The 17,934-nt window shown below is 45.5% G+C and overlaps 1 long non-coding RNA gene across 1 annotated transcript in view; it reads right to left on the reverse strand.

Annotated features, from left to right (window-relative positions):
* Window positions 1-3,409: 3,409 nt before the first annotated feature.
* The window catches only part of LOC105369608 (uncharacterized), a 36,272-nt gene continuing 21,747 nt past the window's right edge, over window positions 3,410-17,934 (reverse strand). Inside the window, exon 3 of the long non-coding RNA XR_931557.4 lies at window positions 3,410-4,478. This is a non-coding gene — a long non-coding RNA (uncharacterized LOC105369608). The remainder of the gene's footprint in view (window positions 4,479-17,934) is intronic.

Genomic DNA, 17,934 nt, shown 5'->3' on the forward strand with positions numbered 1-17,934 from the left:
CTTCGGGTCAAGTCTGCCCTCATAATGGTGGTACGTTTCTTCCCTCCTAGCCTCATCTCTCTCTCTCTCTCTGCTCCCCCTCTCTAGGCAGCTCATCCCTCCCAGAGCTGGCCTTGCTTCCTCACCTGTTTGCTTTTGCTCTGGCTTTCTCTCTGTCCTTTCTCTTTCATCAATCCAACTTCTGTGCCTTTGGCCATGGTATTTCCTCTTTTTATCAGATCCTTCCCTCTTCTTCTTTGTCTAATTCCCATTTAGTTTCCATGTTTCCTCTCAACCACTCTCTTTCTCCTGCAGTCCTTCCCTGCTGCCCCACCCCACCAACACACACACCCCGACAAGCTCTTACTCCCACTCTCATCCCTTTCTCTCACCAAAGCTGACCCAGCCACACCTGGGCTCACTTCTGTCTCAGCACTTATCTCGACACCCATTTTTCTGTCTCTGGCACTAGGAAGAGAACTGCTCCAGGACAGAGGCCCTAATTATTAGCATCTAGAATGCCTTGTTTGGTTTCTAGAATGTAGATGTAAGAGGAGTTATGTAATGTTGGTCAAGTGAATGAATGGATGAATGAATGCTCACTTGGTGGCCAAGAAGAGGCAGTCACAAGAGATCCAGCGAAGGAAAGAGGTCTGATGAGGAGGAAAAGTATGAGAAAATATAAAGAAGAAAACAAAGTGTTTGGGTAGAGGGAACGTTTACTTTTGCTGGGGGTAGTAACTTCCATTTCAGTGGGAAAAATCTCCACATCCAAGCAGAATATTGGGTTTTGTTTGTTTGTTTGTTTCTTTGCGGTTTTTTGTTTTTTTGGTTTTTTTTTTTTTTTTTTTTTTTGCTGCATCTGAAGGAGAAATGGGGGTGGGAAGGGGTAGGGTCCTCAGAGCCTACAACTGACACCACTCAGGAATCATCTGCAGGGCCTCTCCTGCTGGACCTCCCCTCCTGGACCTCTGGATGTCTAGCTTCCTCCCTTGATGCTAACTTTGTTCCAAACACAACCCTGAATGCATCCCTAAATCATCACCCAAGACCAGGAACAAGCGCCCAGTCTTTTTTCTTACTCCAGTGTCCTCACTTTCTTCTTCCACTCCCACCTTGACTTATCTCACATGTCCACCCATCCGTACCCCAACCGCCCAATTCATGCATTTTTCCATGTCTTAAGACCTCATGCTATTATTCATCCATTTGTCCAAACCCCCCACCAAACATGTGCTGCCTCCACTTTGTCATTTCCTAACACTCCCAAGGACTCTCAAGCTCTGTTAAGACAATCAGAGAATTTATGGATACTCATTTTTTAAAACCTCCAAGGCACTAAATTGCATCTACCCGAGATACTGCTTTGACTGATCTCCTCTAAGGTTGCAAGGCATACCTTGTAGCTGAAGATTAATGTCTCTGTCTCTGCTTGTTGAGGGTCAATGACTCACGGAGTTTTATCAGTGTGGGCAGACTGGAAAAGCTAATGGAGAACAGGATCAAGGGCCCCCCTTCTCCCTCCCCAGCTGCCTCCTGATCCCCTCTCCTTTGGTGCAAATACCATCCCCAGAGCCGGAGCACCACGGTTTATTTTTATCTGTTTATTTTGCAATTAACAAAGAGAAGGGGCCCCTTTCTGATGTGCTGGTTCAGAGGTTCAAAGTGTCTAGCTACCTTGACCCCTTCACCAGCCTCCGACATCGCAGTGTGGCTGCCCAACTGCGAAAGATTTATACTTATTTTTATATAATGGAAAACTCATTGCCGGACATCGAGTTACTCACTTTGATTTGTTTTCTTTGGAAGAAGCGGCCGGCGGCGGCGGCAGCGCCCCAAGCTGGGTCATTAACATGGCAGCAACAGCAACAAAGACCTTTACAGCCGCTGCCTGTAAACCGTGGATAAAGTTCAAGCATTTATTCTGTTTGAGGCCTCCCAGTGTCTATAAAAGCCCAGCACGATTATATGATCAGTGTCAAGACCCACTTTCCCCTCTTTGTGCTCTGGGATGCATTTCCTTGCCCTGTCCCTCCGTGTTGCCACCGCAGCTGCTCTGGCTTTAATAGCAACCCAAGGCACACACTATTGGAGTGTTCCTTGGGCTTTGTTTTAAACATGGTTTTTGCTTGTGTTAACTACCGCCTGGCTCTCTGACACCCGTGAATGGGGCTATGCGGGGCTGTCAATCAACAACAATAATAATGCCATCTGGGTTTGAATAATACTAATGAGAAGAAGAAGAAGAGGGATACTGTGTATTAACATAGCACCTTTGTCCCAGAAGCTCAGAGGGCGTTCGGGATAATAATTCATTCATGCTCTGCGCACTGCTTGGCGGTAGATATTATGATCCCACTGCAGGGGACTGAGACACAGAGAGGGCAAGTGGCTGGCCCCAAGGTCACACAGTAAGTCAGAGACGGTACACAATTTCGTTGTTGTGAGTCCCTGAAAGCATGAGTCCCGTGGGATCACACTGAACTGTAACTCTGTGCATCTGGTTTTAAAATCTAGCCTTAAGAAGAGCGGTATGATCTGCGTGTTTCATGCCTTCTAGGGTGAAGGAGAAAATAAAAAGAATGTTCAAGGGTGGAGGACAAACCTCAACGATCCTCAGTATTATAGGAGAGACCATCCAAGCCAGGGTCAGGGAAGAGGGCGATGAGATGCTAGTAAACCACTCCAAGGGGCCTCTGAGATTTCTGTGTGGCGGGAGGGTGGTGGAAGCATGTTAAATAAAGATAAGTGGATAAAGAGAAAGAGAACTCTCCCAGGTAGGTGAGAAAGCAAGCTAATCACAAGCCTAAAAGCTCATGGAGGGCCAGATAAGGAGCAGCAGGCATCCAGAAAGAAGGATATTGCTGAAGGCACCAAGAATGTCCCTGTTTGATCTAAAATCCCATATTCTGCACTTTGCAGATCCCATCAAGGAGACAGGGCCCTAGCTCTCTTTTCTCAGCCCCCTTAGTGCAAAGAGGGGTTCAAACCTGACTCTGCCACTTCAGAGTAGTCATACCTATCTAATTTCTCTGTGTCTCAATTTCAACTATGTAAAATCGGTTAATAATTATCTCATTGGGTTAACTAACATATTGGAATAACTCCTGAACTGATTTCCCTGCCTCCAATCTCTGCCTACAATTCTCTATCATTGGGTTGTCATGAGGATTAAATAAGTTAATATATAAAGTGCTCAGACTAGTTCCCAACGTGTAGCGGAACCTCAGTAAATATTAGCTAGTATTATCATAAACAGCAGTAGATTGTCGTCATCATCATCATCATCATCATCATCATCATCATCATCATTATTAACCTCTAGTTTGCTGGTTGCTTATTCCTGAGCAGATAAGAAATAGATCAAGCACCCACGAAGGAAGGGTTCAGTCATATAAGGACCTACAATTAAACCCCCCAGCACCTCTTTTCCTCTTCTGTGCTTGTGTTGCGTTGTTACTGCACGCTATGGATCAGCACTTAGTTATTCTCACTTGCTGTATGTCTTGGTTTTGTCGCCTCCAGTAGAATCTAAACTAATGCACAGTAATTCATCTAATTCTCCTCTATTCCTCACAGCACCCAGCCTTCCACTTGACAAGCAGCCTCTGCTCAGAAGATGCATCTTACCTTTCCATAATTTCTTGAACACCTGCCATGTGCTTAGCCACTGAGCTGAGGGGCTACAGGGGTGCATTAGGGAAGACTCTTGTCCTGGGAGAATATACTTCTTTTGTGGAAGAGATAAGCCATATAGTGATTAATTCCCAAAACTTACTATGCATCAGAATCAGTTGGAGGGCTTCTTAAAACACAGAATACAGTTAAAATGACCTCAAATGACCATTTAAATTTTACCTTTATTCTTAAAAGGAGAGTAACAAGATCAAAATATTATCCCAGAAAGATCAACCTTGGAATATTGTAGAGGACAGATATGACCAGGGAGAGATGAAGTTGGGGAAATCATAATATGCTAGTAAGAGAGAAAAGTACTGAACTAAATAATTAATTGATTTATTGATTTTGAAGGCTTCCAAAACCTCTCATGAAATCATTACATTCCTAGTTTCCTTTTCCTTGTAGAGAGCCTCTAAATACTTGAGCTGACACTTTCTGCCCCATAAGTTCATTATTTATGGTATCGTCTGTCCTTTGTTTTTGTCCCTGACCCAGTTTAGAAGCACTTTATCACTGAGACTGAATCTGAGGCTCTCTCTAGTTTCCAAGGCAAGTATTCTTTGGCAATAGACAAACAGATTTACAATTCCTCCCCAGAACTTCAAGGAGAAAGACCCTGCTTTCACATCTTTACAAACTCCCTCTTCATCTCTCACCACAAACGCAAGGCTTCTGAGCTTGCACTTGGTAATTTGTCTCACGGCTCCTCTTTTTCTGAAAGACTCTGAGCTTCTTGAGGACAGAACTAGCATCCAGTTCCATGTTTGAGTTTCTGATTTTTAGTGAAGTGACTGTCACAGGGTACATGCTTGAGAAATCTTTATTGGGAAAAAAATAAAGACAAACTTTATTAAAAGTATCTCATATTGTTCTTGTATTCAAATACATAATGCCACCTCACATGTAGATATCTTTGTAAAAGCATCTGGCTTTCAGGGTTTCCCTTTCAGACAGAGTTTATTATATCCACATCAGAAGGCAGTATTTGTAAGGTCCACCTTCAAGAATAAGAAATCACCTCATTAAACACAGTTGTTTTCAAAAAACCATATGACTTCCTCCTTCCTCCTTCCCTCCCTCTCTTCCTCCCTCCTTTTATTCTACTCCCACCTGGTCCGGTCCCTCCTCCTTCCCTTTGTCCAACAGGCACACAATAACACTTGGGGTACTGTACAAGCCACCATGGGCGATTGGTTACTGCCCTTGCAGAGCTTGAACTCCAGTGAAAGATACCTAACTCCCCCATCATTGTATTATATAGATTTGCTTCTTATTTTAGAGTAAAACAAGGTTCAGACAACACAGTGCAGGCATGTGGAGGGAGAGGAAAAGAGATCACACCTTACTGGTGCAAGAAGGGGCAGTGTGCAAGTCAGCTCTGGGTGGGTAGCTGCCTTTTCAATAGATGGAGAAGGGAGGGAAGGGCTTCGCAGGCTGGAAGCACAGCACTGAGGGTGTGGCGAGCTCCAGCAAGGGTGAGCAGCCACGGGGGCGGCCGTGGTGCTGGCAGATGAACCATGCCAATATGGAGGGAGCGAGGGACAGATTTTAATAAGCCACGGTGAGGACGGTGGATTCTGCTCGCAGGCAAAGGATAGTGACTGAAGCTTCTGGAACAGTGACATGTACCTGACATCTAGTTTTGACAAGAGAGTGCTGGCCCTGATGGCCAGCCAGGGTTTGCCCCGTGGCTCGAGGTTACCGGTACTTTGTGTACTTTTCCCCCAAGGCTGTAGGAGAAATAAGAACTCTAGCCAGATTTGCTGGGCTCTTCTCTCTGTAGCCTAGTGCTCTGGGGACCTATCTGGCTTAGAGGCGGGTTTGTCTTTGGAGTGCTTTCTTGAGAAAGGAGTGCTCTCTGCAAACCCTCTCTCCCTTCCCTCTCTTCACCCTGGAGATTGTCTTTACATTCAGCTTGAGACTGCGCTGAAAGATCCTTGGTACCTCTGTGGTCTCTTGAGTGGACTGCCCGACCCAGTGGGCAAGGAGCCCCCACGTCTGGCAGACCAAGCCAGCCCATTCCTCACATGTCATGGATTTTCCTGGAGGGAAACAGCGGATGCCACATGGTCATGGCTTGAAAGGATTCCATGCTGTCTGCACAAATAGAGACTGGAGCCTCTGGGAACAGCCTTGCTCTCACCTCACTCCCAGAAAGCCTCCCTGCCCTGGCCCGTGCAAACAGGCAGTGAATTGTTGCTCTCACTTCTACACACTGATGTACTGTGGGGCTGAGGCTTGGGGTTTTTGCCTTAAAAAAAATAAATCTCTTCATCTCCTTTCTGCATTGGACATGCTTGTCTCTGGGGACTTTTCCTTCCCAGACAGCCCTGAGTGACACGGACAAGAGGATTCTTGGGAGGGGCCTGACTGAACTGCAGCCACCTAGGCATTACCAGTGTGGTTGAGAAGACGGTGAGCTGACTTTCACCAGCCCCACCCCCTCTCTACACCCCACCCTTCCCCACCACCCCACTTCCCCACCCATGAACTGTCCTCTTGCACTTATGGTTTTCCACATTCTGGTCCCTCCCCCTAGAATGCCCCTTCTTTCTGCTCTGCTTGGAGAACTCCTATTCATTGTTCAGTGCTTAGCTTTAAGGACATTCGTGCTGTGAAATCTTACCCAGTTCCCAAAAAAATAAGTCCTGGTTTCCTCCTTCTCTATGCTCTTTGGATGTGTCTCAGTGATCAGGCTGATGAGACGGACTTGTGGTTGTTTGGATACCATTTCTCCAACCAGACCGAGCTGCCTGAGGGCAGTGATAATGAAGGCCTTGAGGGACAGTTGTGCCGGTTGTGTACTGCCCAACCCTATGGGGTGCCATTCACATTGTAGTCTAAATACACCCTGCACAACCCTAAGCAGCAGCTTTTGGGATAGGTAAGACTTTTTAACATAGGATCTGGCAAATAATAAAAGGTTATTCAAATTAATGTGGGAGTATTGCTCAGATTTTTGCTCTTCCTGTTCTGGTCACAGGGAAGAAACAATAGTTAGCTCAACAACCTTACAGTGAGAAAATATCCAGTTCTCCTTGGAGACAGGACATTGGTTCTAGATCAAGGTGAGAACTGAAGAAGATCCTTCTGGTCCCCCTTCAAACAGCCAATGGCTGCTCCAGGGGTGTCAAAGGGGTGTCACGTCATGGGACAAATCAGGTTATGAGGTGGTTAACTGCCTGAAATACTCAAATGAAACATCTTCTGAGGAGCATTCAGATGTGGTGGGGAAGCACACCCTAATGGGTCTGTGCAGTCTGCTGTGGTTCAGAACTGGGGCATGGAGCCATGCCCGCCCCATGGCTGCCTCCCTCCGGTTTGGTCTGGACTACTCACACAAGCCATGTGGAAGCCTGGACTATATGATAGTGGTCCCTGTCCTGTCTTGCCCTCATGTTCTCAGGGTCCGATGAGCAGTACATGAATTTTTGTCCCTGTGCCTCAGATGTTCATCTACATAATGAGATGTCTTTCTGTTAGGGTTTTGGGGGGTGAAGCAGAGATCAAAGGGGAGCTTGTATTCCCCCCAGTAAAAGAAAAAGACCATGTAGGAGATGAAGATGCCTAGGATCCCTTTCAAATCATCAAACAACGGAGATTTCTCAAAGAACTAAGAGTGGCACTCCCATTCAACCCAGTAATCTCATTACTGGGTATATACCCAAAGGAAAACAAATCATTCTACCAAAAAGACACATGTGTACACATGTTCATGGCAGCACTATTCACGATACCAAAGATAAGGCGTCAACCCAAGGTGCCCATCAACAGTGGATTGGATAAAGAAAATGTGATGTGGTACATATAGATCATGGAATGCTATGCGGCGATAAAAGAGGATGAAATTAATGTCCCTTGCTGCAACAAGGATACGGCTGGAGGCCATTATCCGAAGCAAGTTAACACAGAAACAGAAAACCAAATATTGCATGTTCTCACTTATAAGAGGGAGCCAATCACTGGGTACTCATAGACATAAACATGGTAACAACAGACACTGAGGACTACTAGAGGTGGGAGAGAATGAGAGGGGCAAGGGCTGAAAACCTAGCTACTGGGTACTATGCTCAGTACCTGGGTGGTGGTTTCATTCATATTCCAGACCTCAGCATCATGAAATATACTTTTGTAACAAACCTGCACATGTACCCCCTGATTCTAAAATAAGAGTTGAGAAAAAAGAATATTTAAAAACTCACCAAATAATATGGGATCCTTACTACTCTATCCTAGCTCCAATGTCTATGTTTTCTGTACCCCTTCTTCCCCTCCACTCTATCTTGAGATTAGGGGAAAAGTGAAGATGTGAGGGTAAGATAGAAACACTGAAAGGTGGTTATAATAATAACAATAATCTTTATTATAAGAAACTCAGTAAATGGGCATAAAGACGGTAGAGGAAGAGTTCTGATTTGCCCTTCATCCTTGGAAGAAGACAGAGAGGCTCTGCAACGGCACTGCCCAGGTTCAACTCCAGCCTCTGTAATCAGCAGCTGTGTGTCCCGGGCCCGGGCAGGTTGCTTGACCCGACTCTTCAGTGTCCTTGTCTTTCATCGCTCTTACCTCACAGAATTGTGAGGATTAAGTGAGCTCATAAATGCAAAGTGTTCTGAACAGAGTTTAGTAAGTTTCCATCATTACTATTCCTATTGCAATAACAAATACCATCATATAGTATTGCTCTTCAGCCCAGTGAGGTTGAGAAAACAAACTTAGATGCTATAACCAAAACACTTGAGAACAGATCAAGGGACACACGTAGACAGATGTGACTCTTTTTCATCACATCAAACCTGCATTCCCTCCTCTTGGTGTCTGGCTTTCATGGAAATAGCTAAAGCATCTATGAGCTCAGCTTGGTGTCCCTTTGCTCAGGGTGGTCTATGAATAATGGAATGATCCAGTGCCCTCAATATCCTGGGCACACTGCTAGAAACCCACACATTTGGTATTAGTCTCAGGTATTCTGTCTTGGGTCCACCTAGAAGGTCTTCATATTCCCTGTGAAGTGCTAGGTGATTTCTGCATTTATTAATTATTCTTTTGGTGTATGCTAATTGACTACATGTTAAGTGTGAGAGCAAGTTCCCAGAGGAAAGAAGAGGATCCTTATCCATCTCTTCACCCAGTTGCACCTACTGACTCCTGCACCCAGAATGCCATTTTCTCCCTTGTCTACCTGGCAAACCCCTATTCATCCTTCAAAACCCAGCACAAATATAACCTCCTTTGTCAGACCTTTCTTAACATCCCCAACCTCCAAGCAGAGTAACTTTTTCTTGTGTAGTTTTTGGCCTACATTTTATCATCGACTTTCTGAAATTATGCCTAATTATTTGCCACACTGCATCTTGAAGGCAGGAGCGCCCTAATTTACGTCTGAATTCCTACAGCCTGACGTAGCCTGGCACACAGTAGGTGTTCAATAGTGTTTGCTGAGTGAGGCCCTTTCAGCCTATAGTAACTCTTTGGGGTCTTGGGTTCCATAAGTTTAAGATCTGCTTTTAGGTTGTGAACACCAGGCTGCCAAAGGGATCAAAAGTAAATATGACAGAAGATCTGTCAATAACATAAAACTCCAGAACAACCTACTGAAGATTCTGGAACCCTTTTCTTGAATAAATTTTACAAGCGAGAAAGGATGATGTCACAATCCTAGTTCAGAGATGGAGCATAGACCCGTTGGCTCTCCATTGGCCTTCTCGGTTCCAGGAATGATTAAGTAGACATCTGGATATGTGTAGGGTGCATGTGGATGAAAAGAACCAGCTTGTCCCCACTTCCCCAATCGTGTTCACCCTTCCCACCTTGTTGAGGATGCCTCTTGCCTTTCTGCCCAAGTTGTTCCTCCTCCCTAGGCAGCTCAAGTCCCACCTCTTCCACAAAGCCTCTTCTGACCACCCCAGTCCAAAGGGCAATCCCTCTGCTCTGGGTTCTGGGCAGTATGGCATAGACCAGGCTTCTAACTGGTTTGGAAATATGTTATTTGACTTCATAATGGGAAATTCCTTTGAAAGAAAAAGTATTTCTCTTAGTCCCCTTGTTTCCTCTCCAGGGCCAGGCACAGTTTGGGACACTAGCATGTGTGTGCATGTGTATGTGTGTGTGTTGTCATGGCAACACAATGTGAATAATCCGAATCGGAGATCCTGGTGTCATACATCTGGAACAAAATAAACTCATTTATGACATCTTCCAGCATGTACAATGTCTCTGAAACATTGAGATCTCAAAGAAACAAAACAGCTCCAAAACAGGGTGGAGAGCTCACATTCTTTCCTCGCCTGTCTGCCTGCCCTCCCCCCTGCCCACCTCCCCATATACAGAATGGAAACTTTCAGGGGAAAAGAATTTTGAACAGCTGTTGTGAGAGACCACACAGACTTCCCCACATCTGCTCGCACACAGCCGGTGAGCTCATTTCCCGGGGAGATGCTGTCTGAGTCTGTGGGGTCCACTTAAGGATACCTTGGGAGGGGCTGAGGAGAAAAGAGGAAGTGGCCCCAGGTGGAGGGGGAACTTTCTCATGTCAGAAAATTCACTGGAGACAGATTAAAGGGAGGGTGATCCCACAGATTCCTTCCTTGCCTAGGAGAGTTTGCTTTCTAGAAAGCCCCTTTGCTCATTATGTTTAAAAAGAGGTCTTTTCAAATTTACAACTGATTTTAAAAAGAATCTTGACTCCCATCAAGTCCTCCTCCCCTCGTCCAAAAAGCCAAAGTCAAGAAGCATTTCCTGGTTTAGAAAATATCCTACAAAGGATTAGGGCCACAGGCAATGACAGCTTCCCCCACGCTTTTTAACGTTGAAAGTAATATTCTGGTTTCTACAGTGCTCTGTGGACTCCAAAGAGCTTTTACCCATAGTAATGTATTAGATCCTCAAGAGGCTTTCTGGGAGAGACAGGGAAGATATTGCTAGCATTAGTGTTGACACCAGAATTGGTATTGATAAGCATATTGGCATTGGCATTAGGACGAATTAGTCCTGAATTTCCAGTGTTGAAGCTGAGGTTTACGGTAGTTTCGTGAATTGCCCAAGTTCACAAAGCAGAGCAGAGAACTTAGAGTCTTATATTTGACCTGTGAACCCCTTTTGCTAAACTATGAAGTCATCTTTCACAAAATAACAGCTCATTTGCAAGCTAGCTTTTCCTTCCTCTCCCATTTCTTGGACCCCCAGCCTCAGAAATCCAACCAAGCCCTGGGATTCTTATGGGTATGACACAATCACTTTCCAGGTTGGGTTTTGGCCCCATCCCCTGACAAAGAAGCAAGGAGAGGTCCAGAGAGGACACCTATCTCTTTTGGAAATTCCATCTTCATCCTCTGGATGTGTAGCTGTGGCACCCAAACTAGATCAGGAAGTGGGAGATCTGGGTGCCCAGGCAGCCTCTGCGTCTACTGTCCACTGCTGTGAGTCATCTACCCTTTTCACCTGTCAAATGAAGAGTTTAAGCCAGTGATTTCTGTAGACGCTCCCAGCTCCAGTCTTCTGTGATTAGGTGACGCTGTGATTCCATGACAGTCTTCAATGATTCAAGAGCAGACAGGTTACAGGGGTGGTGAATTTTCCTTGAGGGAACCTGTGCCTGGGACCCTTCCCTCCACACTCACTCACTCGCCCCATGCCTGCTGTCAGCCTGGAGCTGGCCTGGCCCTGCCTGGCTTGGAGACATCATTGTGCAGTATCAGTTGAAGGTTTGGGTGAGGGCGGGCTGAGGCTGGCGGGGGGGAGACTCACTGGGGTATTTTTTTCAGATGCATATGTCCCCTCTCAGGCAGCCCTTTCAGAGCTCTGGACAATGTGCTCTTTTTGTCTCCAGCCTTTTCAGCCGCCTGTTCATTCTCTTTGCATCTGCTGTCACACAGGACATCCCGGCTGGCAGGCGACCACGGGGACACATTGTGCTCCCTTAATGAAGCATAGGGCTGGTGATACAGGGCTGGGGGGGCAGGCTGCAGAAGCAAGGGGTGAGCAGAGGGGCACCCCATCTTTCTACTCCAGGCTCCTCCTGGGGGAAAGGACAATTGGCCCCCCTTTTATTCCTCATGGTCCACATGGATGTGCCTGCAAGAAAGGAACTCACTCGTTTCAAGGGAGAGGCTTTGGTGACTGGGGTGGCAAGTGGGTGATGGAAGAGAGAGAGCTCAGCTTCTTCTTCAGGAAAAAGGGCACTGCTAAGCAGGTGGGCAGGAGGTCCTGGAAAAAGGAGCATTAGCCAAGAGCACTTTGCCCACATCCTTTTCACAGAGAGGCTCCAAACATCATGCAACATGCAACTAGGAAGAAGAGGACACTGGGGCATCCCCTTCCATTCTTTAAAAGCTTATGGTGTCACCGTCCACCTGGGGTTAGTGTCTAAGAAGTTAGTCCTTGATCCAGGAGGCTTGGTGAAATGAGAGCTGAGGGTCCCTTCAGGTCCTAATGTGTTGTAGGTGGAGGCCCTCTCCATCCAGGTAAAGAAGAAAGAAGGATGGCTCCAGGAGTTCACATAACATGGCCAAAGGCCGGGCAGCGTGCAGCAGAATGCAAGATGAGCGGCCAGGTTATAGGGCGAGATCATGAAGGATTCTTCCCCGGCCCCAAATGTTCTTTAAGAGTGTCCTCTCACCATCCCTCCTCTCATCCCCCAAGAATAGAGAAAAATGAAATCAGCAGAATCCCGGAGAGCAGAGGTTTTTCCTCCTTGTGTGGCTTGTAACAACAAATCTCTGATCTTTTCACCAGATGAAGGTGATGCCACCAAGGCTGATGACTATCTGTGCTGCGGGTGTGGCTGGCAGGCCCCAGGGCACTTCCCACCATGAAGCCAGCCAGATAAGGCAGCCCTGATGTTTTTAAACAAGGCTACCCATGATAGTGCGGGCTCCACCTGCAGCTCTCAGGTCAGCAGAACTCCTTTCCCCAAAAGAGAGCCCCTCTCCCCCAGGCCCCTTTCTGCTTGCTGTGGAGTTACCTTGCAGAAGCCCAGGGTTCACTACAATGTTCTGGCATGTGCAGATGCCTTCCCAACTCTTACTACAACTTGGAGTTTGTCTTTCTGGTCTGTTTACTGCACCCCGCCCCCCCCACCCCCAGCCCACCCCTCACCCTTCCTGGCCTGCTTACCCGCCCACCACCCAAAGAAAAAAGCCTGGGCCTTGTCCAACAAGGCCCCCTGTCCCCTTTAACAAGCGAAGTGTGCTGGCATTGCAATTGGTGGTCTTCTCCCCTGAAGGTCGTTAATTAGTACAGAATGTAGACTTCAGTTGTCTTGCCAGCCCCGATGAAAACGCAGCTGGCAGGTAGCCGAGACAGAGGAATTTGTCATAGGTTAGATCAGCTCAAGCTCTAAGGACCAAGTGTACAGCTTATGCAAATAGTTTTGCTTAGCATGGATCCTGTGTTCTTATTCCCCCTCTCTCCCCCCAAGATTTTTTTTTTAACTGAAGGGTGGGGAGGGAGTGGGGGAACAAGGGAAGGAGGGAGAACAAGCACTTACTTGCCAGATCTCATTCTAAATCAGAAAGGAGCAAATTGCTTTCCCTAAAAAAGAAAAAGGCAGGGAAAAAAGAAGACAAAACACCCATCCTTTGGTCTAATGTACCGAGCATTTGAAAGCTGAATTGCTCAATAGGAAAGACTAGCAGTGAGTGTATTTGGAGAGACTATTATCCCCATCAAAACCCATTCACACTCTCTGGGAGGCCTGCAGAGCACCTGGGTGGGGACTTGGAACATTGGGGTTCTGTTCCTCTCCCTGCCCTGATGGTGTCACCTCCTCAATCCTGCCCTGGTTTTCCCAACTTTGGCAAACACTTAGTGCTAGCCTCAATTAGACAGAGCATCTGGGCACCCACGAATCCCAGAAGACAGAAGAGTTATGGTGGCTTCTCTCAGCATGTGCAGCACTAGCTTGGCATACTATAAAGACCTGTGACCTCAAAGTCCGGCGGGCCAAGCCAGTTATGAGCTGTGTGATTTGGGACACTTCTCTTAACCTCTGTGAGCTTCAGCTCCCTCATCTATAAAAACAGGGACAGCCATCTTTCCCTCATATTCCCTCAGTGGTTTACCTGGCACCTAGTAAGGGCTCAATTAATACTTGACGAGAATGAATGAAGCAAGATAACGAGGTAACAAGCATGCTGCCTGGTGGGCAGTAGATACTCAGGAAAGTGTTGGCATGCTGATTATGGTGATGAGACCGAAAAATAATCAAGAGAAAAGTTGGATTTCAAAGTTGTAAAATTGCACTGAAGGCATTGAGTTGGCTCAACATTGGTGGAAGTGAAGATGAGGGGTGGGGTGGGAGTAGGAGAAGAAAACCTCAGGGTTTGTCTAGGACAGGGATTTTTAATCTCAGAGTTATTGACATTTTGGACAGGATAATTCTTGGTTGTGGAGGGTTTTCCTGTGCCGTGTAAGATGGTTAGTAGCATCCTCTACCTGCTAGATGCCAGTCGTACCTTCCTCAGCTGTAACAACTAAAAATGTCTCCAGACATTTCCAAATGTTCCCTAGAGGGCAGAGTGTCCCCAATTGAGAATTACCACTGATCTAAGATAATTTCCTCCAGGAAAGCTGATGAGCGATCTGGTGAACTCCGTAGACTGTGGCTATGCGATACTTACATTTCAGCTGCTACCTAACACTGTGGCAGAAATAGCAATGACTTGCTTAAGGACTACTCTGAAGGTCAAAGGAGGATGTGAGCCAGACTGATGAAAAAGTTATTACAGACTTCAAGTTTCCAGACCGGTATGTAAGGGGTTTGGAAGTTGCCTCTCTGTCCTAATAAGTAAAAAGATGAACAAACTGAAAAAATCAATAATTCTCCTTAAAACTATCAGGCATGTGAAATCACAGGGTAAACTGCTGCCCCCAAAATTGGAGAGACAGACAGGTGAATACAGAGAGTTACAACCTAACTGGAGCCGGAACCTACTCACAGAAACCACTGCAGGAAGCAACGCCCGCCTTGGAAAACTGAACTGTAACTGACAAATTACTGCAGGCTCAGTGTGGACAAGTTTGAGAGTTAAACACTCCGGTGAGACCCAGTCATAGAGGGGTAACCACATTTTTGTGAGTTTTACTGCAGGAGCTCCACCAGGTTCTTACAGTGAGTATCAGAGGAAAGTCCCCTTGTATTCCTAGCAGGTAAAGAGCGAAAAGAACCATTCTGAAATACACCAGAGTACTCTGTCTCCCCTCAAGAGAAACTGTTCTAAAAGAGCCTAAAATGTTGGAGTTTTACCAGAACCTAGCTAAACTGGGGAAAGGGAAATATACCAAACTCCAGCCCCCAGAGTCATTCTGTCCCACCCAAGGGCAGGGTGTGGGGACTGAGATGCACTTGTGAGGTTCACAGCCCAGGGGCACAGGTTCACTAAGAGATTGAGACCTGCTCCAGAGGACTATAGAATGTTTACTCTCCTCTCATGCCTTGCCACCACACACTAACGGCCTATTTACAGCAGTTCCTTCTATCCAGTATGTCCAGCTATCAAGAAAATTACAAGACATATTAAAAGGCAAAAATCACAATTTGAAGAGACAGAAAAAGCATTAGAACCAGACTCAGATACAACAGGGATGTTGGAATTATCGAACTGGGAATTTAAAACAGCTATCATGATTAATGTGGTAAGAGCTCTAGTAAATCAAGTAGACAGCGTGTAAGGAAAAGATGAGCAGTGTAAGCAGAGATGGAAATTCTAAGAAAAAAGCAAAAAAAAGGTTAGAGTTAAAAAACACTAGAGATAAAAAAAAATTAGCTAGAGATGGCTGGGTGCAGTGGCTCACGCCTGTAATCCCAGCACTTTGGGAGGCCGAGGAGGGGGGATCACGAGGTCAGGAGATAGAGACCATCCTGGCTAACACGGTGAAACCCCATCTCTACTAAAAATACAAAAAATTAGCTGGGCATGGTTGTGGGCGCCTGTAGTCCCAGCTACTCGGAAGGCTGAGGCGGGGGAATGGCGTGAACCCGGAAGGCAGAGCTTGCAGTGAGCCAAGATCGCGCCACTGCACTCCAGCCTGGGTGACAGAGCGAGACTCCGTCTCAAAAAAATAAATAAATAAAATAAATAAGCTAGAGATTTGAAAAAAAAAAATGTCTTTGATGGGTTCATTAGTAGAATGGACACAGCTAAGGAACAAATTCCCTGAGCTTGAGAATATGTCAATAGAAACTTTCAAAATGAAAACACACACACAAAATAGACTGGGGAAAAAAAGAGAAAACTCCACAAATTGTGGGACGACTACAAAAGGTGTAACATTCATATAATGGGGATATCAGAAGTAAAAGAAAGAAATGAACAGAATAAATATTTGAAGCAACAATGACTGAACATTTCCACAAATTTGTGTTTGGTCAGACATTAAACCACAGATCCACAGATCTAAGAAGCTCAGAGAACACAAGCAGGATAAATACAAAAACAAAAAACCATAAAACAAAAACCAACTATATTTAGACATATTGTATTGAAACTGCAGAAAATTCAAAAGTAAGAAAAAGTCTTGAGAGAGGCCAGAGGAAAATGCACCTTATCTATAGAGGAACAAACATAAGAATTACCTCCAACTTCTCATCAGAAACTGAGCGAAGAAGAAGAATAAAACGGAATCAGGTAAAATGCTCAATTGAAACCACAAAAGGCAATGAATAGGAAACCAAAAGCACGGCAACAAGAGCGAAAATTGACAAGTGGGACTACAGCAAACCAAAACACTCCTGTCAGCAAAGAAAACAGTCACAGAATGAAAAGGGAACACAAAGAACAGGATAAAATATTTGCAAATTATATATATAGTAAGAGATTAATATTTTAAAAATATAAGACGTCTACAACTCTATACCCAAAAGAGAAAAAAATAAACAAAATAAACAACCTATTAAAACACAGGCAAAGGGCCGGGTGAGGTGGGCTCACGCCTGCAATCCCAGCACTTTGGGAGGCCGAGGGGGGCAGATCACGAGGTCAGGAGATCAAGACCATCCTGGCTAATACGGTGAAACCCCATCTCTATTAAAAGCACAAAAAAATTAGCCGGGCGTCGTGGTGGGTGCCTGTAGTCCCAGCTACTCGAGAGGCTGAGGTGGGAGAATGGTGTGTACCCAGGAGGCAGAGCTTGCAGTGAGCCGAGAGCACGCCACTGCACTCCAGCCTGGAGGACAGAGTGAGACTCCGTCTCAAAACAAACAAACAAACAAACAAACAAACAAACAAACAAACGAAAACATAGGCAGAGGACTTAATAGTCATTTCTCCAAAGAAGACATACAAATGGTCAACAGGTATATTAAAAGTTGTTTGACATCACTAATGACAAGGGAAATGCAAATCAAAACGACAATGAAATATCACCCACATCCATTAGGATGGCTACGATCAAAAAACCAGGAAAGAGTAAGCACTGATGAGGATATGGAGATGATGATTGAGGAGGATATTGGAACCCTTGCGCACTGTTGGTGAGAACTGAAAATCATGTAGCCGTTATGGAAAACAGTACTGAGGTTTCCTCAAAAAAAATCACAAATAGAATTACCATAAGATCTAGTGATCTCACATATAGATATTTATCACAAAGAACTGAAAGCAGAGTCTTGAGTAGATATTTGCATTCTGATGTGCATAGCAGCATAATTCACAACAGCCAAGGGGCGGGAACAATCTAAATGTCTATCAATGGATGAATAGATAAGCAAAATGTGATATGTACATGCAATGGAATATTATTAAGTCTTAAAAAAGAAGAAAATCCCATTATATGCTATAACATGTCTGAATCTTAAGGACATTATTTTAAGTGAAATAAGCCTGTGATGTAAGGACAAATCTTACATGATCCCACTTATATGAGTATCTAAAATAGTCAAACTCATAGAAGCAGAAAGTAGTATGGTGATTACCCAGAGTGGGCAGAGGGGACTGTCCAATGGGTAGGGAGTTGATGTCCAATGGGTATAGAGTTTCAGCCATACAAGTTGAAAAGTTCTAGCTGGCCGGGCGAGGTGGCTCACGCCTGTAATCCCAGCATTTTGGGAGGCCGAGGCGGGGGTATCACGAGGTCAGGAGATGAAGGCCATCTTGGCTAACACGGTGAAACCCCGTCTCTACTAAAAATACAAAAAAATTAGCCGGGCGTGGGGGCGGGCGCCTGTAGTCCCAGCTACTCGGGAGGCTGAGGCAGGAGAATGGCGTGAACCCTGGGAGGCGGAGCTTGCAGTGAGCCGAGATCAAAAGAATCACCTTTGAAAAAAATTGATAAGCT

This window comes from Homo sapiens, chromosome 12 (genome assembly GCF_000001405.40).
Source record: "Homo sapiens chromosome 12, GRCh38.p14 Primary Assembly".
NCBI lineage: Eukaryota > Metazoa > Chordata > Mammalia > Primates > Hominidae > Homo > Homo sapiens.